This window comes from Homo sapiens, chromosome 10 (assembly GCF_000001405.40).
Source record: "Homo sapiens chromosome 10, GRCh38.p14 Primary Assembly".
In the NCBI taxonomy this organism is placed as follows: Eukaryota; Metazoa; Chordata; class Mammalia; order Primates; family Hominidae; genus Homo; species Homo sapiens.
Window position 1 is genome coordinate 82,735,411 of NC_000010.11, and position 26,108 is coordinate 82,761,518.

At 36.6% G+C, this 26,108-nt stretch overlaps 1 protein-coding gene across 24 annotated transcripts in view, besides 3 other annotated features; it reads left to right on the plus strand.

Moving 5' to 3' along the window:
- The window catches only part of NRG3 (neuregulin 3), a 1,111,986-nt gene that overhangs the window by 860,217 nt on the left and 225,661 nt on the right, over positions 1–26,108 (plus strand). For 23 of the 24 annotated variants that reach the window (NR_163251.1, XR_001747009.3, NR_163252.1 and 20 more), the window contains one exon: positions 3,167–3,240. Coding sequence is in view for 20 of the 24 variants with exons in the window: in XM_017015573.3 (XP_016871062.1) it covers positions 3,167–3,240 (74 nt within the window). In the remaining 4 variants the exon portion in view is untranslated. Of the gene's footprint in view, positions 1–3,166; positions 3,241–7,907; positions 10,476–26,108 lie in introns of those variants that run through there. The other variant, XM_017015584.3, reaches the window with a different exon arrangement.
- Positions 7,083–7,377: an enhancer, noted in NCBI's record as "tiled region #14045; K562 Activating non-DNase unmatched - State 24:Quies". NCBI's record gives its function as "activates a minimal TATA promoter and a strong SV40 promoter by Sharpr-MPRA in K562 cells {active_cell/tissue: K562}" and the evidence as "EXISTENCE:reporter gene assay evidence [ECO:0000049][PMID:27701403]".
- Positions 7,425–7,593: a silencer, noted in NCBI's record as "fragment chr10:84502591-84502759 (GRCh37/hg19 assembly coordinates)". NCBI's record gives its function as "represses an EF-1alpha promoter that drives an FKBP-Casp9 reporter gene in an ReSE screen in K562 erythroleukemia cells {active_cell/tissue: K562}" and the evidence as "EXISTENCE:reporter gene assay evidence [ECO:0000049][PMID:32094911]".
- Positions 23,512–24,223: an enhancer, noted in NCBI's record as "OCT4-NANOG hESC enhancer chr10:84518678-84519389 (GRCh37/hg19 assembly coordinates)". NCBI's record gives its function as "activates a minimal SCP1, AML or CMV promoter by ChIP-STARR-seq in primed H9 embryonic stem cells {active_cell/tissue: H9 hESC(primed)}" and the evidence as "EXISTENCE:reporter gene assay evidence [ECO:0000049][PMID:30033119]".

A 26,108-nucleotide genomic window follows, 5' to 3' on the forward strand; every position in this document is an offset into this window, starting at 1 on the left:
CAGAGTAGAAAGATAATAGAATATCTACTATAATGACACATGCACAAGTGTTTTTATTGCAACACTATTTGCAATAGCAAAGACTAGGAACCAACCAAAATGCCTATCAATGATAGACTGGATAAAGAAAATGTGGCCCATATACACCATGGAATACTATGCAGCCATAAAAAAGAATAAGTTCGTGTCCTTTGCAGGGACATGGATGAAGCTAGAATCCATCATTCTCAGTAAGCTATCACAGAAACAGAAAACCAAACACCACATTATCACTCATAAGTGGGAGTTGAACAATGAAAGCACATGGACACAGGGAGGGGAACATCACACACCGGGGCCTGTCAGGGGGTGGGTGGCTAGGGGAGGGATAGCATTAGTACAAATACCTAATGCATGTGAGGTTTAAAACCTGGATGTCGGGTTGGTGGGTGCAGCAAACCACCATGGCACATGTATACCTATGTAACAAACCTGCACATTTTGCACATGTATCCCAGAACTTAAAATAATAAAAAAAAGAAAGATAATAGAATATTAACCTGGTTAAGGCAAGATTTGTGTTTTTTAAAACATATATTCCCCATTAAAGACTACACATGTACTTCTTAATGTTATTAACTTTGTCATGTATTAAGATGAACAGAAAGGCATTTCTATTATATGAATTTTTTCTTATTCTTGTGTCTTTCAAAAAGAAAAAAGAAAATAAAACAAACAAATACACACTCAACTCTCCCCCAAAAAACCAAAACAAAAACAAGCAATGCAATAATATTTCTCAAAAGATATGCTTGACACACTATCAGAAGTTCTGCCAACTTCAATCTATGCACTAGAAGTGCATTGAAAACTTTTATTCTTTGCTTCTTGTCTTTAATATTGTTGTAAATTCAATCCACTTCACTGGCATTACCTGCTAGCAACATTCCATCTTCACATTTGGATGAGTGTGAACTTATCAAGGTGACATATGTGTGATTTTTAATGGAAATTTTACTTTGTTTTTCTTAAAACTGGGTGTCAATTAGCAGTGACTCGCCTCCTTAACAAAGGAACAGGGTTTGCTGCCTGCCCAGCCACACAGCCCCTGGGGGGCTTCCTAGCCTGGGCTAGGCTGCTGCAACATCATCACACTTTATTAGTTACAGCACAGAGTTATGGAGGCAGGAGGAAAGTACTCACTATGCAATTTTCCTGATACCCCATGAGGCCTGAGCACCTCAAGGTGGGTTAGCACTCATGGAAAATCAGTTTAAGATGGGAAAATTTCAAACATCTTTCCTTATTTTCTTTCCCACACACAAATAGAATAATGCATTTTAAGTAACAAAGAACACTTAAAAAGCAAAACAAAAACAAAAAGACACTTATCCTTAAAAGCCACCATCTCCTTAGGATATTCCTCTTATATTAAATAAGGATACAAAGAGTAAAGTGTACTTAAAATCTCTCACAAAGATTGGAAATAAAATCTTCAAAAAGTGAATGCATACAATAGCACATACGTAGGACGTAATTCATTATTATTGGGAAATGAAAATGAAAGCACCATGGTACGATAATTCTGAATAAGAACAAGCTAATTACATTAGGGCAGCTTTCAGAAAACAAGAATTTATTTTTTTATGACAAATATGACTCAGTACAAAGTACACAAAGTATTTTCTGACTCTTACTGTGATATGCCTACTTTATTTCAAGTAAAATATATGAATTTTTAAAAGGTTATGAAAATGTGTTTATGCTTTAAAAAAATCATTTCAGTAACATGTTGGATATCTGGAATATCCATATATTGGAGGTCTGTGTTCTCAGTCTACAAGGAAAATTGCCAAATCCACTCTAGAGTGCCAGGCTTAAAAAGGTGTTGAAGAGAGCCTGCCCGATTACCTGAATTCCAATTTGGCTCACAATGAAAGATAGAAAAATTACCTAGATGCATTTCAATGTTGCTTCTCCCCTTGCAATAGACCTTATTTAATAGCTTATTACACTCAGAAAACAAAGCATATTTTAAGGAAAGAACTCACGACGCATGGTTCCTGTCTCTTGACAGAACGGCCTCTTTGAATTCTTTTGTCAATTTCATAGATTTCTAACAAGCAGAGAATTGTTTTTTAAATCTGATTTTTTTTAATGCCAGCAGCACTATTTCCTCCTCTTAAGTAGGACAGATTCATCCTTTAAGCAACAATGGATGCTTCCCTGCTGAACTCGAGCATGACAGATTAAGCTTCGAGCAGACCAGTAAATGCCACCTCCCCACTTAACAAGGCTGTTCAGAGCCAGGCGTCTGGGGCCTCGCCGTATTTGTTCCTGGAATCACTGTCTGATGAGCCACTGCTGTCCGAGGTGGCCAAGCAGCCCTGATTGAGCGAGCTATGTGAAGACCCGACAGGGGCCTGGCAGGGCGGCGGGGGCATGCCTCCTTTTTGGTGCTTCCAGGCAAATTCCTTGCCTCCAAATTGTGCCCGCCTCAGGACAGTTGGCTTGTACAATGCCTGGCAGAAAGTAGACACTTTGCACTTGTTTACTGAATATAAAAGAGAAAAATAGAGAGAGAAAAAATCTGAGTTTAGAGATGCCTTTCAGACCTTGCCGGATAAAATGCTGTTATTTCTGGCAAAGTGGTGAGGTGACACTGACTTGGAAGAATAACTAAGAGGTTAAAAAAAAAAAAGTAGGACTAACAGTGAACAAGCTAATAAAACACATGGAAACCAAATTAGTGGTAGCCAAAATCAATAATAGATCCATTATATTTCAAAATATCTTTTATAAGAAAATGGCACTTGGAATATGTTTCTAAATGCCTTTTAGAGACCAGTGTGTTGCATAAAGAAAAATACACCTGCATCCAGAATTATAATTTTAAGAACCATTATTTAGATTGCTGTGAGGTATCTTAAAATGCGATTCAATTTGCTCCTTAGATATTGCATATCAAACTATAAAAGCAAAGCTACATTGTTGGCTTTCTCCCTTTTTGGCAAAGAAATAGAATTGAGAATCTGCCTGTTGAGGTCAGAAACAGACTGAATCAAAAAATATGAAAGCATGAATGTACTGTTCTCACATTTATGTAATTGATGGCTATTTTACTTGTTGAAATCTTAAGTCTTTCACAACCACATGCGTATGTTTGTCATTTATCCCCTTTTCTCAGGTGCAAAGAAGGCTACCAAGGAGTCCGTTGTGATCAATTTCTGCCGAAAACTGATTCCATCTTATCGGATCCAAGTAGGTCAAGCATTTTTCTTCTCTCTAATGCAATATATAGGCAGCGTTTATTCTGAGCAATGGTTGTTAACTCAGCTGAAAGCTATATTTCAGTCTTGTGTCTCTGAAAGCTGCCAAGGACAGAAGCTGATGGCAGATGTTGATGTTCAAAGCATCCTCAGAGCTGGCTCAGTCTAGGTCTTCTCTGACGATGAGGCCTGGCTTCCGGATTCCACCTTGAACCCCTGCTGGGAACTCCCAACAACCCGGGCCTCCTTAGCTTTCCTTCTGCCCAGCCACGTACCACCTCATTTCAAAAGCAGGGATCTAGAAAAATAACAGAGCTTATTATTTACCTGAAATAATGTTATGGAAACTACAGTATTATACCGCTTCTTACGCTTTGGTTGTTAATTTATGATAGTATTAAACCATACCTTACTAAAGTAAGAAAACGTGTACGAAATCATGTAAGAAGTTTTCAAGCAGACTTTGAAAACTCCATTTTTGGCAACACTATTTGCATATCAGTGATTACTGTCCTAAGGACAAATTATTTTTTCTCCATTCATGGAAGAAGACAATTTGCAGACTAAAAAATATGGCTAGTCATTAGTTTGTTTGTATGGTAGTAAAAGTAACCTTTTATGCTTAAATGCCCAATTCTAGTCAAATGTGAAATGTTTATCTTTAAAGAATTCTCTGTTCTTTCAATAGCTGCTAGAATTGAATCATGACTAAAAAATGGGGATTTTCATTGAATCAGCGATTTAGTTTAGTGAGGATAATGATAGGCATTTTGCAATTGGAAAGGCCAAGTTATGGTTTTCTGAATATCATACATACGTAACACAGACTTCAGTAAATATTTTGTACTGACTAAGGACAGAGGTCGCCCTGCCTGTGTCTGTGCGTTTTGCTGCATAATGAACGTGTCTAGGCATCTTCCAACATCTTTTCAAAATGCATATTTTCATTTCCCCCTGAATTTCTAGCTACATTTACTCAAGTAAATGCAAAGTTATTTGAAAGAAAAAGGTTTTGTTTAATTTAATTTAATTCTATTTTATCTTGACGAAGCAATTCACCATACAGTAACTACTCTTTCTTTGCAAATTTAGCTTTCCTTGAGAAAAGTGAAGGTTGCCACAGGGATATCTCTATTTCCTGAAATGTGAGACACAGTTCTCTGGGAATTACCCAAAGAGGATGGTATTACTGGAGTTTTTGGTATCTTATTTATCAAGTGATTTGGACCACTTGCTCAGGTGGCCTCTGAAAGGGTATTCATGGTTATGATGTGAGACATATCTTTGGCATGTTAGGAAACTTGCATAAAATAATGGGCTTGCTGATTTCTTTCTTTTTCTTTCTCTCTCTTTTTTCCTCACTTTTCCTAATGTATCTAGTTTTTCTCTTTTTCTTTCTCTCTTTTTTCTGTTTTTATCCCTTCTCTTTTCCTATTTATTTCCCTTCATTATTTTGTCTCCTTTAATATAATACTTCTTCCCTTCCTCCCTCTTTCCCTTCCTCCCTCTTTCCCTTTCCCCCTTTCCTCCCTTCCTCCCTTCCTCTCTTCCTTTCTTCTTTCTTTCCTTTCTTCCTTCCTTCCTCCCTCCCTCCCTTCTTTCCTGTTTTGCTTTCTTTTCATATGTGGCTGTGGAATAGCTATTCAGTACAGGTTACAAAGGGCAAGGTCTTGCATATGGTACAAAGTGGGTAAAAAAAACCTCTTTAAACAATCTAATCAAATGTTACCAGCCATTTAGATACCATAGTTCATCACTGCAAGAGTGGAGGAGGGGGTCACCATAATGACTATTCTCTCCTCGTAGAACAAAATGGTCCCACGGTTACAGTCACTATCCCTGAAAACCTATTTCAATGTCTATTAAATTGCTATTAAAATTATAGCTGTGTGAGCCAGGCACGGTGGTTCATGCCTATAAACCCAGCACTTTGGGAGGCAGAGATGCTTGAGGTCAGGAGTTTGAGACCAGCCTGGCCAACATGGTGAAACCCTGTCTCTACTAAAAATACAAAAATTAGCCTGGTATGGTGGCAAGTGCCTGTAGTCTCAGCTACCTCTGGAGGCTGAGAGAGGAGAATCACTTGAATCCAGGAGGCAAAGTTGAAGTGAGCCAAGATCACGCCACTGTACTCCAGCCTGGGTGACAGAGCAAGACTCTGTCTCAAAAAAAAAAAAAAAAAAAAAAAAAATTATACCTCTCTGAAATGTTTCTATTAAGTGAAACTGCAAGATAAAAAATTACTTTTATATAAAATTGCAAAAGGAACATACTTTGCCCCAAATGTAGAAAAGAAATACACTAAAATGTTGTAAGGACGTGGAATTTTATGAAATTGTTTTTCTATTTCTCCAGTTTTCTGTAAAGTGGTATATCATTATGTGAGTCAAAATGCCAGAATCCTTGAAATTTAAAAAGAAAGAATAAGCATGGAGAGCCCATGGATGAGTCCTTGAGACACAGCTTAAATGGAAAAGCATTATGTCTTGCATTCATCCATGCACACGTGCATTTCTTTAGGTAATCATTAATTCATTTCATCAGTATTTTCTCAGCATCCACCAAGAGCCACCTAATTGGTCAGGCTCTGTTAATACAAAAGTGTGCAAACAGGATTTAGGCCCTGAGGATCCCGCAGATTAGTGAGGGGGAAAAACATGTGGATATATAAACATGGGGATGAATTTGGTGTAACATTTACCCTTTTCCGACGTTAGCAGATTTGATTCGGCTTCCAGGCCTCAGGCTTTCACTTGAGCAATGGCAACAGTAATACCTATAAGCATTATTGTTATCATATAGATGGACAGAGTCAATGCCAGATAATGTCAGCCCACTTCCCTTATTCCTCACTATAATTGTTACTAATACGCGTTTAAATGATACATGTGCCAGGCACTGTGCCAAAGGCTTTACATGGATTATTTTATTAAACCCTCACAATCACAGTTTAGTAAGGAGACTGCTGACAATTGCCCACATTTTATAGATGAGAAAATTAGACCTCAGGGAAGCTAAGTAAACTTGCTCAAGGTCATACAGCTAGTTAATGCTAGAGTTTAACTTCCATTCCAAATGACTCCAGGACCTGAGCTCCCAACTGAAGGGCGCTTTCCTCCCTCCCCTAGAACCCTCCCTTCTCTAGTTATTTTCAACAGGACATTTATCACTCTAAATTCCACTGACTGAAACTCAATGACCTGCGGCAAACATTATTCTAAGGAACAATATTTGCACAATTTTCATATCTTAATGCAGCAACTTGAGCTTCCATAGAGATTTAAATCCCTAATGAAATTTCCTTGTCAAAATTCTTGCTGAAGGATTGTTTAATTTGCTGCTCATGATATCTTCAGAATGACTGTATGCTCAGGAAATAAGCTTCCACTCAACTCCCTCCCTCCATTTTTTCTCTTCTGTCTCCTCTCTTCTCTCCATTCCATCTTCCTTCCTTCCTCCCTCTCTCTCGTCTGTCCAGTGCATACTTTTGCTGAGTGAAATCCCTATTAGCAGGGGGTGAGAAACCGCTGCTCTTTTATTCTCTCCCAGGCAATGCAAAGTTAGTCAGAAATGTGTATCTTTTACATTAAATTTTAAAAATAAAATCTTAAATGACCTATATTTAGGAAAATGGTGCAAGGATGTCACTGTGAGAGCCTTACTGGCTTGAGTGTCTTAGCAGTGGTTCAGAGCTGGGTCCTCAGACTGTTTCAAAAACTCATCCCCTCTGCTCTCTTTTAAATCCCAAGAACCTATAGCTAACTCCATTCAGGAACATATTTACCTATGAGGATCAATCTTATAAAGTGTGTCAGTGACAGTTTTTGTAAATATATCTAATGCACCAATCTGTCAGATTAATCAAACCCTCCTATGGATTCAATGTACCACAAGTCGCATTCAGATCATGAGGCTGAATAGCAAGCAGGAGTTCAGAAAGAATGTAGTGAGTGACTCAGACTTTGGTCAGAGTCAAGAGGAAGTGACCTTCTGTGGAGGAGCCGGCATCAGCTACTGTGGCATTCTTGAAGGGCATATTTCTGCCTCCTGCCTCCTATGCTGCCAGCGCACTGAGGGATAGCAGCAGTAAGCTTCCCGGAAGCTGACTTGTAGACTCCTGCCCTGGTTTTCCTTCCTTACTACCCATTCCCACCCAGGGTAGTTACCATCCTCAGCCTTGAAGCACAGTTAGATGGAGCTGAACTATGTGTCAGTCAGAACTGTGAGCCAGCGAAGGTTTTTCTCCATCTCCCCTCTCATGAGCACATGCCAGGCTGAGTTCCCATCAAGATCCTGACATAATCACCAGCCAATGGAAGCATGGGGGATGCTGCAGAGAACAGACTCAGAACAGAATCAAAGAATGCAGTGGGGTAGAGAAGATGCCCATTGGAAGCAAGGGCACGCCTCCTCACACACAGCTGGAGACAGCCGTTTCTACCCCACCCTGTGCCTTTCTCTCCCTGTCAGAATCCAGTACTTAGCATATTCCTGGCTGTGATGGCAGGCTTGAGTCTGCAGGCTCAAGCTCTGGCAAGCAGTGTATACAGCTTAAACACTTGGAGTCGTCTAGCCCCTCCGTGGAAGGTAGGAGCATCACTTCCATCATGTATTCATACGTGCTGACTTCGATTCGCACTTTGTTTCTTTGCATCTTAGAAACAGGCTCTGTTCTCAAAGCACCTGGAAAGATGCTAGGAGCCTGGTCTGGATGTGATTCAGAGGAAGACTGGTGAAAAATATGATATGGATTTAGACTTCCCATCAGCCCACTGGGTTTGTGTGCCTCAGCTTTCCAGGAAGAACCACTTCACAAGTCCCTAAAGAAAAGAAAAAAACAATCTTCGGTAGAGTGTGTTCTAGCACCAGAGAGGGCATCAGGTAGGAAAATAAATTTATAAACACAGCCCCACTTCCAAATGGCCTGCAGAGACAACCAAATCATGCCCAAGCTTGGTCTCCTTCCTCATGTTCCCAGGGATTGTCATTCCCAGTGCCTAGACCATCAGGCTCAGAGCCAAGTGGTGCCCCTTTGCCATATGTGTCACAGTGAAGGAAAAAAAAATTGAGAACAGCCTGGGAATGCCAATGTAGGGCCAGGAGCCTGGGTAGGCATTTGCTAAGCAGACACAAGGAGATTTTCCTGAAGATTATTAACAGAAAGTTTTCCCCCAAAAGACCCATGTTCTGTATTCTTGCCTTTCTCAATTGTATTTAATATATAGGAACATGTGTTCTGTGTGTCAACAATTAGGTGAAAGGGTGAAACAAAAGGTGCTCTGAATTGGAAGTCAAAGGGTTTTGTTCTAATTCTGTGACCACCTGATCTTTGTGGTGTGGCCTTTGGCAAAGCACAGTTTATTTGGACCTTGGTTTCTTTATCTGTAGAACAATTCCATGGGCATCCAGCTTAAAGAAAGTGATGGCCCTCAGCAGAGCAGGCTGTCTTGCAAGCCATTCAGAAGGGGAGTTCAGTGCACCACCAAACTAGTGGATTTCTTCACTCATTCATTCATTTCCCCAGATAATTAAGCATATGTAACATATACCATGCTTTGGATCCAAATAATAATAATCACAGATCCTATTGTCTTAATCCATTTGGGATGCTATGAAAAAATACCATTAACTGGGTGGCTTATAAACAACAGAAATTTATTTCTCACTATTGTGAATGCTAGGAAGTCAAGATCAAGGTGCTGGCAGGTTCAGTGTCTGCTGTGGGCAATTTTCTGATAGAGGGTGCATTCTCTGTTTCCTTACATTGGAAGGCATGACACAACTCTCTGCGCCTCTTTTGGAAGGGCTTGAATCCTATTCATGAGGATTTCTTCTTCCCGATCTATCACCTCCCAAAGGCACTGCCTCTTACTAGCACCACATTAAGGATTAGGTTTCCACATAAGAATTTCGGTGGGACACAAACTTTCAGACCATAGCATCTACCATCAGTAAACTCAGTGTAGTTAACTGTGTTTATTGACATTGAATTACAGACTACAAAGGACGTAATGTCTGCAAGATATTGAAATGTTTTCTTCCTTCACTCATTCAAAATCTTATTAATAGTTTGACATTGGACAAGTTGCATAACATTAATAAACCCTGGCTTTCTTCTTTATAAATTAAGATATTCTAATCTGTAACATATATAGCTGTTGCTAGGATGAAATAAAATACTCCATTCAGAGCATGTCATGCTTGGGACATTGTGAGAGCTCAATAAATATTATCTATTATCATCATTATTATTTTTGTTGTTTCAACTGTCACCTTGATTAGTACACAGTGTACAAGGCACTGAGACAGGTGCTACTAAGGATTAAAAAGCATGCAGCCTATTACCTGGCCTCGAATATCTCCAGTTGTACTGAGGAAGTAAAAATGCATGAAGAAGTACAAATGAGGACACACGAAAGACATGATTGCTAAGGAAATATAAAAATGGAGGGGCAATAAAAGTTCACATAAAGTGGAAGGAGAGATCTGGTGTTAGGAAAGGATTTCTCTAGGAGAGAAGATTGCAGTGAGCTATTCACACAGGATGTGTATCTGTGAACTGTTGTACAAGCTGCACACTGCCCGACTTCACTGGTATCATTTATGCTAGAGTGTGAAGGGCCTTCTGTGGAGGGTTGCAACTTGGTCCTGGGAAGGACATTTCCATGAATAAATTAGATAGAGGAAAAACAGATTCTTGAGGACACAAAGCAGAAACTAATTATCACTTTCCCCTGGTCTATTAATCCATACAGATGAAAGAATGTATCTTCCAGACTGGCATCTGCTGGGAATACTTAAGTCTGCTAAGCTACTCTGCCTTCCAGGAGCCATAAAAACATTGTTAGCAGAATGGATTTATATGTAAAATCTGTCACTCTTATTACCGTTTTTCTGGCTTGCCATGAGAAGGAGAAACAGAGAATTATCTGATTTTGACCATGTCACCATGAATCTCACAAAACCCATTAATTCTGTCAGGTTGTATATTTTTATATATTTGATTGCTAATATCTTCAAGTCTTTCCTTTTAAATTATATAGACACCAATCTTTTACCAATCATGTATGCAAACACATGATTTCTAGATACTAGGAAAATAATTTTATTTACAAGAAAGGAAAAATTTCCTATGGGTACCTGATTCAGAGATAACCACTGATAATCAATTCGTGCATACTACTCCACATATTTTCTACTTTTTCTGTGGCATACATATGTATTCATTTTTATTTGTTTGTTTGGTTTTTAGAGGCAGGGTCTTGCTCTGTCACCCAGGCTGGAGTGCAATGGCATGATCTTGGCTCACTGCAGCCTCAACTTTCTGGGCTCAAGTGAGCTTGCCTCAGCCTCCCAAGTAGCTGGGACTACAAATGCCTGCCACCACACTCAACTACTTTTTAAAAAAATGTTTATAAGGACAGGGTCTTGCTATGTTGCCCAGGCTGGTCTTGAACTCCTGGCCTCAGGAGATCCTCCCATCTCAGTCTCCCAAAGTGCTGGGATTACAGGCTTGAGCCACTGTGCCAGACTTGTATTTGGTTTTAACCATTATGTTGAAAGCAGGCCTCACAGGGCCAGAGGGAAGCCCACCTGCCCTTGCCTCTCTCAGCTAGAGTGTTTGGGTCTGTCTGCCCAGCTTGCTAACTACAGCTTCCCTGTTGGCCCCGGCTCACTGGGGGCCACTCTACCCACTCTACCCGGGAAGAGGATTGTTCTTCTGTCCTCCCAGGGGGCCTGTTCAGCAGGTCTGAAGACAGTTCCCAACTGGTTCTCGGTTCTCCTGTGTGGTCCACAGCTATTCCACAGGACATGCTCACTATATTGTATCATTGTGCCCTGGGAGAGCTGGGCATTCAGGAGCCTCTGTCACCAGACTGTCAGGATCAAAGATGACACTTCCTCTCTGTCATCTCTCCTCTGTCCTTTTTATAGTTTCAAAGTCAGAGAGGGAGATCAAGTGTTATGGAATGGTTCTAGATTATCTAATTATTTCCTTTATAAATTCTGCGTGTGGTGTTTTGTCTCACACTTCATTATCTATTATTCATTATATTGACATCTTAATCAAATCTGAGGTACCAGAAATTAAATATTCATACCTTATTACACAATATACTCATTTGCCTTACAAAATTAGGATTGGCTGGATGCTCACGCTTGTAATCTCAGCACTTTGGGAAGCCATGGTGTAAGTACTCCTTGAGCCCAGGAGTTGAATATCAGCCTGGGCAGCATAGGAAGACCTTGTTTCTAGACAAAAAAATAAAATAAAATAGCCAGGCATGGCGGTATGCACCTGTAGTCCCAGCTACTTGGGAGGCTGAAGCTGGAGGATCGCTTGAGCTCAGGAGCTCGAGGCTGCTGTGAGTTGTGATTGCGCCACTGCACTCCAGCCTGGGTGATGTAGTGAGACCTTTTCTCAATTAATAACAACAACAAAAAAAGGAACACCATCAGGATTATACTACCTGTATTTTGTAACTTCTACTTCCCACTCAATATATTGTGAGCTTTTTCCCACAGAATTTTCTTAATTTTATATTCTTTTAAACTATTCTTTTATATTCTTTTATAAATATTCCTTATAATATTATAAGAATTTAACGTAAATTATTTTACCAGTCATCTATGAAGGGCTGTTTAGTGGGTTTCCAATTTTGCCTGCTTACAGTGATTAACAACCATTATGCGTAAGTCTCTGTACCTTGATGTCCAAATGATTTCTTGAGGATAAATTCCTAGATTTTGATATATTTTGATAACTTTTCCTCCAGAAAGATTATATCTGTTTACATTTCCGTGAGTGAAAAGTAAAATTGATTTTACTTTTTTCTTTACCAACACTGGATAGTATTAATTGCTACTTGTACAGGGAAAATTATATACCACTAATATTTTATATTGTACCTTGATTGCCAGCAATATTGAATCCTTTTTTCACTTGTTTATTGGTCAGTTTCATTTGTACCTTTATGAATTTTTAATTATTTTTCTTTGCTCACTTTGAAATACTATAATATTTCAATCTTATTTAAAAGAGTTTGCTATTTTGAGGATAACAAACTATTCACTATCATATAATTTTTCCAGATTGCTCTTTGATTTATTATTTATGATATTTTTTGAAGCATACAAAAGTTTTGCCTTTTATGGAGTCAAATCTATTAGGTATTTTTTAAAAAGTAGTTCATATGGGCTAATGCTATCCTTAGCCTAAGAATGAAATGAATTAACAGTAATTAAGCTATTCAATTTTATTATATTTCTATCTGAAATTTATGTTAGTGTGTAGTTTTATATTAAGAGTAATATGTTTAAAAACACATTTAATTTTTCCAACAGAATTTATTCAATAGTCTGACATTTCTTGATGATTTATAAATATAAATTAATTATATAATATATAATTACACATATTTGGTGTTGTCTGTGGACTTTCTACTCTGCAGATAGGGGTAACACCATGAGAGTATTTAGTTTTAAGAGAATTGTAGTTTACATTTGGTAAGATTATTTCCTCAATTTAAAAATATATAATTGGTTAAATATGATTCAACCATATATTGATTTGAACTTGATTACATATGCATTTTAGAATAATATGCTTGAAAAACAACCAATATATGATATTAAATACAATATAGGATTCAAAACAACATGTATGTTATGACTAGGGTGACCATATAACTTATCATCTAAACTAGGATATTTGGAAAGTGAAAAGCAGAGCTATGAATAATTACACTGGAATAAAAAATATGAGGCAAAACTATACACTCACCCAAATTTGTAACATAAACATGTATATACTTAACTACATAGGCTTAAAAAAAACTTGAAGGCACTGTATTGCAAAATATGGTAGGATTGCACAATTTTTTCAATATCTTTTGTGTATCTCCCAATTTTCTGCAACACATTTATATTGTATATATTATTATATTATTTATTTTTAATTATTATTTTAAATTTAATAAATATTAAAAGAATGACAATAATGACAAATGCTTTTTTGATGATTACTGCCAGGGACTGTTCTAAGTTTTAACAAATAATCCTCACACAGTGTTGTAAGGTAGATTAAATCAATTCCCACTTTAATGTGTGGAAACTGAGAAAAATAAAGTAAATAAATAAATACATAAATAAATAATAAAATAAATAAAATAATTTGCCCAAGGATACACACTTAGTCAATGGAAGCACTGAAATTTTAAACCCATTGGGTATACAGTCTAAAAAAATAGAACATGAAGAAGCAGTTACAAACATTGAGAGAATCGCTTTCCCATAGAGTTATAATTATGATTCCTCACATTGCTTCTCTTCCTTTGAGCATCATTATTTTTGATGCAACTTTTCATACTGTTCTGCTGTATTAGGATTTGTGGTGTCTTCTAACAAATTGCAATATGGGTTCCTGTGTAAAACTTGAGGGCTTGGAGAGAGGAGGGTTTTATTTAGTTTTGTCTTGACAGTTGCAACTTCAGTTGCAGTCGGAGTAGGGAAGGCTTTGCTGCAAGCCACCTTGCTGAGACATGCCCTGAGGTGGTGCTCTGTGTTCATTTCCTAAGCAGAAATTTGCTGTTTTGAGACCTCCACTCTGCTCATAGCATGACTCCCCAGAGAGAAAATCCTAGCAGTGTCTCTGGTCTCTGCTTATAGGGCACCTACAGCTGAGGTTGGTGTAAGACAGGTGTCTCGTGGCCATGGCTACCTGCTCAAGAAGGTGTAAAGCCCAGGACAAATGCCTAAGTTTCACCACTCGCCCTACCCTCTGCTACCTTTGCCCTCATCCTCTCCATGTGAGCAATCTTAGTAGGGTTCTTATCACTCCTATAAGGTGTTTGGAGCCTGATTCTGCTCAACTCTCCATACAGTTTAATTTTATATACAAGTTTTTGTAGTGTATTTCTACCTTTACTGTATTTGGCCTGTCACTTATATGTGAGGATGGTGCCTCCTTCTGAGATTTATCCATTGATGTAGCTCCCCCTCCACATCCCATATTCATAATTTTTTTTCATGGAAAGCATATGTGGGGACAGTCTTTTGTGAGTATTCCAATGGCCTTTTTAACTAGAAGTTTCCAAAGGGTTCACTTTTGAGTGAGTAGAAGGAAGCACTGAAAAAAAAAAAAAAAGATGGAAAATGGGGCCAAGACTACCCGAAGATTAAAAGCAAAGAAACAATAACCACAAAACCCAATTAGCCCTCAATCAAAAGGGTCCAGCACATTGGAGATTACTTTCATTCTGCCATCCATAGCTTTCTGTGCTTCTTTCTCATAGTCCACTTTGGATAAATTTCAATCACATCTAATAACATCACATGTGTCACTAGACAGACACAACCACTTTCTGCAAAATTCAGAGGAAAACCATAATCATTTTCAACTCTGTTAACTAGACTTTCCTAAATGAATCTATTTATTTACATTCTATGCCCAAGAGCTACATTTTGAAGATAAATAGCAGAATTACCTATTTCTTTTGATGGTGTTTTACATGACACTGATGTTAGGAGACAACCAACACAGTGCTGTACCAAGTAACACGCCCATGATCCTCCTTTTCCTGAGACAGCTATTTTCATAGAATATGATAGAGCAATTTCACCAATGTGTGACTGACATGAAATGGAATGGTTTGAGCTATTATCATCTTTATTTCTAATTTGGTACTACCAGCGTTTCAGTTTTTAATATAGTTTTAAAAAATTGGACACATGAATTATAAATAATATCTCATAATGTGGATTAAGAACACAAACAGAGAGAAGCAGAAAAACTGACTACATTGTTGACAGTAGTCAGAGACACAGGGTTCTGAATTTTCTCTTAAGAGAAACATCTCCTTAGGTCCCCTTAGGCCCATATTTCAAGTTCCAACAGAGTTTTTCATGGAATGAGGACTTAACTGAGTGCCAAATTTCATGCTAGGCCTCTGTCTACACATCCTTATTTATTATTTCTGAGTTATAGTAATTTTATGGTTGAGGCAACAGACATTCAGATAAATTAATTCACCTACAAAAATAATCAATTTGTAAGAATTTGAAATCAAATCTGCTGAGTCCACATTTTAGCCATCAAAGGGCCTTTTGATATGGGCCAACCAAATTTTCTTGCAATAGGAAACTTTTTAATATTTATTTTACTTTATTTTTTCATGAGGGGTCAAGAGCAAAACATTCTCCATCATTTATTGAAATTAATATCTTCATTAAGTGTCATGACAAGAGGTATAATTAAAAATGTAACTTGAAATATGTCAAAAGATGGATGCATAATTAGTACAGTTTGGGGTAAAATCATTGCATTAAGCAAAGCAGTCCACCGTATATAACCTAATTCTTGTACATGATACGCACTTGACAAAACTGTGAACAATTAAAATGAATTTTTGATGATTTGTTTGATATGTGGATAAATTTTTTAGAACCAGCACTGGATCTTCTGAATTCCTGGCTCCCCTAACTATTTTTAGTCTCTCCTTATGAATAAGCTGTCAGTGGTCAATTATACTGGTTGGTGTCTCCACTGTCTCCATTTTCTTGGGAATCTTGAAAAGTCAATCCCTTAGGGAAGTTTTGTTTGAGAATTAAGGTGGAATTGATCTGGCAGATAAACATTAGATTCCCACTGTGCTTTAAACCATGAGAAGGTTATCAAATTTTCAGTTTTTCCTGATTTCTTGTCTTCACAGAAAAGCTCTGTGATTATACATGCAGGACATTTTTAAATATTGGGCATAACCCACTTTAGTTGTCCAGGAACACATTCCAGATCCAATAGGAGTGCTTTGTGGATAATCTGTAAGTGGTGTTCCTTAATTAAGAGTGAGCAACAGGGAATTTGTAAATCAAAAACACATCCCTATAGTGTAAGCCAATTCAGCTACAAGTAACATTTATTAACAACCTATTCTAGTTCATACAAGAAACCTTGCCAGGTACATGCACAAAAGTTCTGTCATTTAACTCTTACAAGATAAAGTAGCTATTAGTATCCTCATTTTTGAACTATGTAAATAAGATTAGAAAAGGAAACCCTAGATGAAGAACATCATCAAGACTTATTGTAAGATATAAGAAGAACTAAATTGAGAGATAATAGCATGACCTACCATAGAATACTTTTGTAGAATGGAATTGTTCCTTAAATATCTATTGCTATAGTTCCAAATACAATCCTCAGACTATGTCTTAAATGTTTTTCTTAGCTTTTGTTTGTTTGTTTGTTTCTTGTGTATCTAATTATGGAACTTAATCACCAGCTTGTTGAGGACAAATATGCTGGATTTGGTTACCACTACATCTCAAGTGCCTTTCATGCTTCCATTACATCAGGCACTCAGGTAATTTTGATTGAATGAGTGAAAGAGAGACTTGTTTAAGGTAACATGTTTTACTAGCTCCCATTTTAAATGTGGTTTTAGTACACCTACTTTAAAATTTATTTAGTATTCACCCAATGTCTATGACTTTGCTAAGAATTATGGATAATTAATACAGTAACAGTATATTTTATTTTATTTTAAAAACCTATTTTAATTGAATTTAATTTTTAGGATAGTAATACATTCACATGGTTCAGTATCAAACAGCATAAAGAGGTTTACAATAAAATGTATTCTACCCTTATCCCCCATTTACCCAGTTCTTCTGTGATAGGCAATCAATGCCGTTAATTCCTTGTAAATCTTTGTAAAGCTACTGTATAAACGTATAAGTAAAATGAACAAAAAATCCCCTTATCTCTTTTTATATAAATAACAGCTCGTAATACACACTGTTCCACATCTCGCTTTTTCATCTAGCAATGATCTAGCTTTTTCATCTAAAATGATCTTCAAGATCATTTTATTTCAGTTCATACAGAACATTCTAATTCTTTTTATAATTGTATACAATTCCATTCATTGCATATAGCATAATATGACTGCTATGGTCTGAATGTTAATGTTCCCACCAAAAATTCATATGTTGAAACATAATTACCAATGTGATGACATTAGGAGGTAGATTAGATCATCAGAGTGAAGTCCTCATGAATGGGATTAATGACCTTAAAGAGGCTCAAGAGCTGCCTTGCTTCTTCCACCATGTGAGGACACAGCAAGAAGACGCAGTATAAGTACAAGGGCCTTTTACCTGCCAGCACTTTGATCTTGGACTTCCCAGCCTTTAGGATCATAATAAATAGATTTCTGTTATTTATAAACGACCCAGTTTATGGTATTTTGTTACAGCAATCCAAAGGGACTCAGAAAACGATGTAACAACCCATCTGTGAATTTGCATTTGGTTTATTTGCTGTTTAAATTATGCTACTTTAAGTAGTATATAGAATAAATTTCTAAAGTGGAAAATGTGGGTGAAATATATGTACCTTTATAGACCTTTGGGTTCTCCTCATTGTCATACTACTAGAATGGTACCAATTTAAAATCTTAAATCCTCTGTTTTCCAAAGCCTCTTTGACATGACGGTTTGTTTTATGAAACTATATTTGTCTTTGTTTAATCTTAGAAGTGAAGAATACTAACTCATTCATTTTTAAATTTAATTCTTTTTATGATGAGTGACATGAAAACATCTTTTTATATTTTAAAAGTTTTTTATTTTTTCTTTCCTGTGAAGTCTCTTTAATATTCCTCCCCAGTGTGTAATTCAGTTATTGGTGATTTTCTTATTGATTTGTAGGAGCTATTTTTATTTAAGGGAAATGAGGCCTTTGATTATGACATGAGATTGAAGTAGTTTTTTTCTTTTGATCTTTGCATTTTGTCTTTGATTATGATAGTTCAGGCACAACAGGAAACTTCTTTTTCCTTTCTTTTTTTCCATGCATTCCTCTTTTCTCCCTCCCTCCTTCTTTCTTTCCTCTCTTCATTTCTTTGTTTTTCCTTCCTTCTTTCTTTCTTTCTTTTATTCTTTTATTAGAATAATTCATTTTTTACCATTGTGGCTATTGGGTTTTGTTTACTACCTTTAAAAAGTTCCACCGGGAGTGGTGGCTCACACCTGCAATCCCAGCACTTTGGGAGGCTGAGGTGGGCAGATCATGAGGTTAGGAGATTGAGACCATCCTGGCCAACATGGTGAAACCCCGTCTTTACTAAATATACAAAAATTACCTGGGCATGGTGGCACATGCATGTAATCCTAGTTCTTTGGGAGGTTGAGGCAGGAGAATTGCTTGAGCCAGGGAGTCAGAGGTTGCAGTGAGCCAAGATCATGCCTCTGCACTCCAGCCTGGCAAAAGAGTGAGACTCCATCTCAAAAAAAAAAAAAAAAGTTCCTTCTCACTCCAAATTTATTCACTAATATTTCTATCTAAAAATTTTAGGAATGTAATTATTTCAGTATTTTTTCCTTAAATCTTGAAATGAATCCAGACTTCTTTTTTCCTAGATGATTACACAGATTCCCAAGATCATTTAATTAGTAATATTATTAGCAGCATATTTGTCAGTATTAAATCGTATTTATTTATTAATAATGTCATATTCTTATAAATGAATGAAAAGATACATAATGAAATATTTCACATTTATTTGGTTCTATTTCTATTCTGTTCTATGGATCCATATATTTGTACATCATTATAATATTCTTAATTATTAGGGTTTTATTAAATATATTAAAATATATAAAAGGAGAGCATACCCTTCGTTAGCTGTCTTCCATATCCCCCAAAATTTGTATTTGGGTTTTATGAACTCATTTCTGTCTCACCAGTGATTACTAATATATACTTAGGAGTTGATTGTTACACTTAAAGGTAGCTATGATGAAACATGAGTTAATGAAGCAGAAGAAGCCAGGCTACATAATGAGAGAAGATTAAAATAACAGAGAAAGGGGGGAAAAGAAAAAAAAAAAAAGCAGATAAAGATTGCTTTGCTTCTGGAAATGGCAACCCAACTAACTCTCTTATTTTTTTCATAGCCAGGAAAGAAAACTTACTATCATTTCCAAATGACAAGCCTCAACCCAATTTAATTAGCTTTACCTTGAGATCCAGAGACCAATCCTGTTCTATGTAGCTTTATTTGACTCCTAACATCCCTTGATCTTTCTATTCTGTGGGGTGTTTCATTATCTAAAGCAAATATATACTACTTAAACATAAAAAATTGTAACATTATGAGGGGTGACTCATTACTGGTGTGTAATATCATGGTACCAGACATTACTAATATGTAAGGAGCATGAGCAGAAAGACACCAGCCTGTGTATAGCCATAGACTACTATGCTTTTAATTGTTTTGAGATTGAGTGTCTCAAGATCTAGATAAATCAGCAAGATGAAAGATGCTGAACACTGACATCTTCTTTGTGCCTTGTGAAAAGAAACAAATGACATCTCTGAGCTGCTTAGAAAAGAATTATACCTGGGATAGTGGTCAAGAGTGGGGAGATATATCTCAGGAGAGTCTCAGGTAGTTTGAGTTTTTTTCCTGTTCCCTTCATAACAAACATGATTCACAGCAACCATTGTAGTATTATCAGTAAACAAGGCTCCTGTTTACATGGTGACCTGAAATAGACCCTGTAGCCAGACATATCCATCCTTCCTTGTTCCAAACACACAAATTTTACTATACTGCCTTTGTAGTCACTACCATTTTCCTTCAATGGAGTTACTTTCTTCCTGCAGTAATCTCATAGTAATTTGTACACTCTTCTCAAACAATCAACCTCAAAAGGATCTACCATTTGTTGGACACCTAATACTTCTTTTGAACACTTGATCTCATTTTATCTCAGCCTCTCTGCCCAAAAAATCATCTAGATTGATATTACTGCTGTCATTTTTCAGGCTAGATGCTGAATCCTATTTCTAGCTGAAGCTTAGGCCATAGCTTCACTTCAGGCTGCAGCAGAATAAGGGAAGGGAAGAATCTGAGTCCCCTGGCTTCCACTGGGGTGGGGAGTTTCCTCAGAGATAGGGAGAATTCTTCCAACCAAAGGAAATTTGGGAAATATTAGGAAACAGGATTATCTGCTGAGAAGGACAAAACCATTCCACTGTAAATCAATTGATTAATCCACATACAAACAACAGGTTTTCTTGCACAGGAAAAACTCTGACACATATTTTACTTTACTTTTGTCCTTAAGGACCTGATGATAGGCCTAGGTACACCATCTACTTCACATTTTTCTAATCTTCCTGTTTAATGTCGCAATCAAACAAGAAAAGAAGCAGCTTTACTTGTTCCTTGTAAACCATGTTGTCCCTCAGTGATGCCAGCATCTTCCACTGGCTCATATTGACCAATATTTCATACAAGTGTTCTTGCACCTTGCAGTTGCACCTAGCATCTTCCTGATTTACAGTCTCAGAACTCGCTCTGTAGACACCTTTTTTTTTTCTAAACTGAAAACGTACCGTTTGTTTTCCATCTTCCTGTAACTCCTCTAAGAAAGCAGATGGTGGATCAGATCTCAGGCCAAAGTTCTCTCCAGATATGGGATATAATCCAAGCAACCTGGTACCTGGGAACTCATTTTTACTCCTGTGAGCTCTTATCCATCATTCTGGACTTCAGCAGCTGCTCTTCAGCGTCTGTTTATTCTTTTCTACTGAACTCCCTTCTCTTTGACAGAAAGCGTGGCTACAGAAAACATTCTGACTAATTCTGTTTGGGGTCAGTCATGAATAACTTTATTCCAACAGCTTCCAATGGCAGGCAAATCCTTTCCCGGTTTTACATACTAATGTAAAATAATTCTCAAGGATAAATCTATGCTTAACATATTCAAATTAAACTTTCCAGTCAGATAATATATTCTCCTTAATGTGCCCAGTGTATGTAGTTCGTAGTATACACTAACTGCAATCTACTGATTTATTTGATTGTGCACCTAAAATATACAAGTAGTACATTTCACAAGTAAGTACAAATTCTTCTTTTCAGAGTGGAGAAAGAAATATATGGATCCTGTCCTCATGGAACTTATACAGATGATAACTAACACTAGTTACTACTTAATTTAAAAGTGGTACAAAGTACCAGGAAGTAAATGTCCAGAATGCAATAATGATATGTAACAGTGAAACAAACTGGACCTTGTTGGAGAGAAGGTTTTCAGGAATATATTCATTCAGTCATTCATTCAACACTTGCTGTGAACCAAGCACTACTGTTTTTTTTTTTTTCTTATTTGGAAAAAAGCTGCATATTTCATTGACTCTTCTGAACAAAGGTCATTAATACAAAAGCACTTGTAAGTTGCTTTACCTGGGGAAAGTATTTTGGTGATTTTTATCTAGGTGAAGTTTTCTGGGCTCAAAAATCTTTTCCTAACAGGTTGATTTTAATAACAGTCCAAACTATTCCAAAACAAAACAAAACTGTTTTCCTCTCTTCCTAAACAGAAACAATGGCATCCGGAGCTGAAAATAGCGTTAATTACATGAAAAGTTTGTGATGCACAGGATTTGCTCTGGAGTATGAAAAGTGTGTCTTAGACTTATGTTTATACTCACATAAAATGAGCAAAAAACGATAGTCCTCTTCAGGAAGAGATTATCTGATGAAAATCTGCAAAGATACTTCAATCTTTCTATGTACTGGAGAGTTTATGAAGCCCCAACCACTGTTCTAAGTAGTGAGACACTTTACCACTTTTTGTACACGTGTTGGGTTGGAGAGTGACAGATTGAAAATAAATATGGAAATTACTGAATAAACTTATCAGACAGTGATAAGGTAATTCAGTAGAGAATGATTAGATTGCTACTTTATTCTGAGTTTCACTAGAGAAGAAATATTTAAACTGAGATCTGAATAACAAGAAAGAAAATTCTTCGGGGAAGGAGCATTCCATAGGGAGAAAACATCCATGGAAAAGACCTTAAGCCTGGGATAAACCTGATATGCTCAAAACAAAATAAAACATACACACAAAATGTCAGAATGAATGATGCAATATATTGGATGAAGAGGAATGTGATCATATCATTGTCATCCTAATGACGACCCCTTTGAGAGTGAAAGGAGATGATGCTCTGTATAATAATAACCAGGCCACAAGCAGGCATGCAGCCCCTTCTGGTTGAATAATTGAGAAACGAAAGTCTGCTAGAAGGAGAGGCTCAATAAATATTTGTTGAAGGAAGGAATAATTGCTCTCACTCTAATGGAATTTTTTTTTAAATTTCTTAACAAATTGATTTAATTAAATCTAGTTCTAGATGTATTTATATTTTAAAATATTTTAATTTGGGCATTTTTGGCTTGATTTGGTCAGTGTCTTTGTTTTTAGAGCTCCAGATGGCTCCAAAATATTTTTGTTCTCAGCCTTTCTCTATGTTAATACTATCAGTGAGGCCAACTTAGACAGGTGTCCCATGTGAATTGCAATTATTTCACCTCAAATGGTTTGTCTTACCCTAGTCAAAACAAAGCAGCTTTGATTTACTACAGTTGAGGTAGAAGAGAGATTGCTGAAGGTTACAAGCCTGATTCTGCTTTTATTGTGTCATTTGAGGTTGACCTTTATGCTCCAGTAACCTCCCTGAATCTGTGTTTTTCCAAGTGTCTGTAATGCTCAGTGTTGGGCATAGCCCTGGATGACACTTTCAGATGAGGAAGTCTGCTGAACATCTGGCTAAAAAGCAAGTTTTGGAGAGCATTTTAGGACTTAAAATATAAAGTCTAACAGTTTTCTGTATTATAAATGACCAGATCAGCATCTATAGATGTATTTTTATGAGTAATAAAGTATAAGGGGAAAGGCTTGCAGAGAGAAAAAGCAAGGAAGAGAAGTATGTCAATGAATACAAATTCTCTCATTTGATAAGAAAATGTAAAATTATGAATAAATGTATGACATCTCATTGCAAGATATGATAAGACTCAATTTCCCCTGTTTATTGTCACCGAATATCTAGGAAACAAAAATTTTCAGGACTTCAGTATTTTAGCAGGAAGAAATCTAGTGACTATAGATTGCCTACCCCTCACCATCTCACCAGTGAAGGTCTTGGTCAGTAGTCTGTAGCTCTCCATTTTCTGCCCCCTAAATGTGTCTTGCAGTGAGTGGTCAGTGGTCAAATGAATGGAACAGTAGAGGCACTTCTATATCAGCATGAAAAACCAGTGAAATGCTGTCTTGCCAATACTGTGTATACAGAGAGACATTTATAAAATAATAAGCAGGTAAAACTTGTCTTGGCAAAAGGCTGGCTCATTACATTCAGTGAATGTTAAAAAAAAAAAAAAGTCCTCTGTGGTGATAAGTAAAATAGACCATCACCACCCAAATCAAGCCACATTAACATCTTGAACTGCTATGCTTTGGATATGGTTTGTCCCTGCCAAAACTCATGTTGAAATTTGATCCCCAATGGGGCAGTGTTGGGAGGTAGGACCTAGTGAGAGATGTTTGGGCCATGGGGGCAGATCTGTCATGAAGAGATTAATGTCCTCTTACAAGTAAGTTCTCCATCTAAAGGGAATGGGTTAGTCTGGTGTTAAAAGGAGCCTGGCTTTCTTGGTCTCTCTCTCTCTCTCTCTTACTTCCTCTCTTACTACGCAATCTGTTTGCATATGCCTACTCCCATTCTACTTTCTGCCTTAAATTGAAGCAGCATGAGGCCCTCACCAGATGCAGCTGATACATGCTGAGAGTAAATTAAACCTTCCAGTCACCAGAATTGTTAGCCAAATAAACCTCTTTTGTTTGTAGAAAATCTTGAACTTTCCAGTCACCAGAATTGTTAGCCAAATAAACCTCTTTTCTTTGTAGATTGCCCAGACTCAAAAATTCTTTTATAACAACTCTAAACAGAGACATTAACCAACAGCAGGAGTTAATGAAACCAAAAGTATGTCATGAGGACAGAAAATGTCAAATATTTTACCAAAATCTTTGGGAAGTCTTTCAAATGTCAAACCAATCACATCACTGAGATCCTGCACATAGAGCTCCTGGTTACCTCTTGACACAGGTAGCACCCTCTAAAGTGAGAGCACCAGTGGTGATATCCTTAGCCAAAGTGATGAGAAGTTGTATGTTCCAGCAAAAGTAGCATAACACAAAAACATACAAGTGTTTGAGACAAAGAAGACTCTTAACCAGGGTTCCTAGCTTTCATTGAGAAAATCCTCTCAATACATCCTTATCACTCAAAAAATTGAAATCCATTATAATAATAATCATACTAATCTATTGATGAAATAATAAGAAACAGCGGAAGGAAGGATGGTAGGTAACAGTCGGCACAAGACACACAAAGAGGAAACTCTATGGGTTCTGCATGCGTGAGTTGCTGAAAATGAGCTTTAAGGTTAAAGCCAGGAGTTTGGAATTAATGTGTAGCATGTGAAATATAAAAAACTCCATTCAATGCCCTCAATTTTATCAGAGGATTAGGGTAACCTCCTGGATACTTGCAGAAAAAAGAAAGCCAGCAATAAGCATTTGGCTGTGGCTTGGAGGTTTAATTTACTCTCAGCATGTAGCATGGGAACCTTTTTGCCTGAGTTGAGAAAATAGCCTATAAACTAGCACCACAACCCCAGAAAAACACAGGGCCCCAGTAGAGACAAACAGAAGAACTTCCAACAGAGATGCCCACAGCCAAAAGCACATCTGGTCTCTAAAGAATAACTCATGATGCTAGTGATCTCACAGGAAAAATTACAACAAAGATAAGAAAAAAGCATATAAGAAAATCTTCATAAGAGAATTGTCAGCAGATGTAGAAATCAATCCAGAATGCAGCCAAAGAGAAAACATGAACAATGTGTGAATTAAAAGCAGATAAATATAGCATACCAAATACCAAGGAAGAGAAAAACATTACTCTGATAATTAATAGCGAAGCATAATCATCAAAAAGGCAAAGTACCACTATCGTCTCTGTCATCTAACTTCATACTGAAGCTTTAAGTAAGCCTAATAACAGAATAAGAAAAAAGAGAAAGAACATTACAAAATGAAATAAAACTATATTATTCTGCATTACAGAGGCTATGGTTTTATCTACTTAGAAAATAAAAAAATAAATAAATAGAGAATAGCTACCAAAACTAAAGAACTAATAAAATCAGCATACAGAAGACAGTCTTACATACAGACAACTATAACTAATTAGAAAATATAATTTTAACAGATTTTTTAATAAGAAATCTATTACATTTTCTGATTTTATTAGTGTATGTACATGGCAATGGCATACATAATTAAATGTATATTACAAATGTAAACTAAGTATATATTGTAAAAAAATTAAAAATATCATATTCCCAACAGCTTCAAATGTTATATAACGTAGACTCTCAGGAGACTAGGTACTCTTAGAACTAGAAAAAAAAATTCAATAAATAGCACTGAGGAAATTGGGTGCCCACATGAAAATAATTAAATGTATTTCATATTTTTAAAAATCTACAGATGACTTGAGCTAATTATAAAAAAAACTCTAAAACTTTGAGAAGAAAATATAGAATATTTTATGATATATAGCAAAAATGTAATATTTTCAAGGAAGAAAGTAAAACATATCGAAACCAAAGTTAAAGCAAACTGACTTCTATTTTATCAAGGCTTATCTAAAAACACAATAGCAATTCTTCAGAAATATCTGTGGAACCCTTCTAAATTAATTATAACCTCACTATAATAAAAAAGTAATATCTTCAAGAAAATAAGGCATTTTTAGAGACCATTTGTAGCCATAGTGCAATAAAACAAGAAGCAAAAACAAAGTAACAGAAAATAACCCAAATACTTTCCTATTCCAACAAACAAAAACCAAAACTCTTCTAAAGAATCCTTAGCTTAAATTGGAATCAAAGCTGCAATAACAAACATTTTGTTAGAAAATAACAGTAG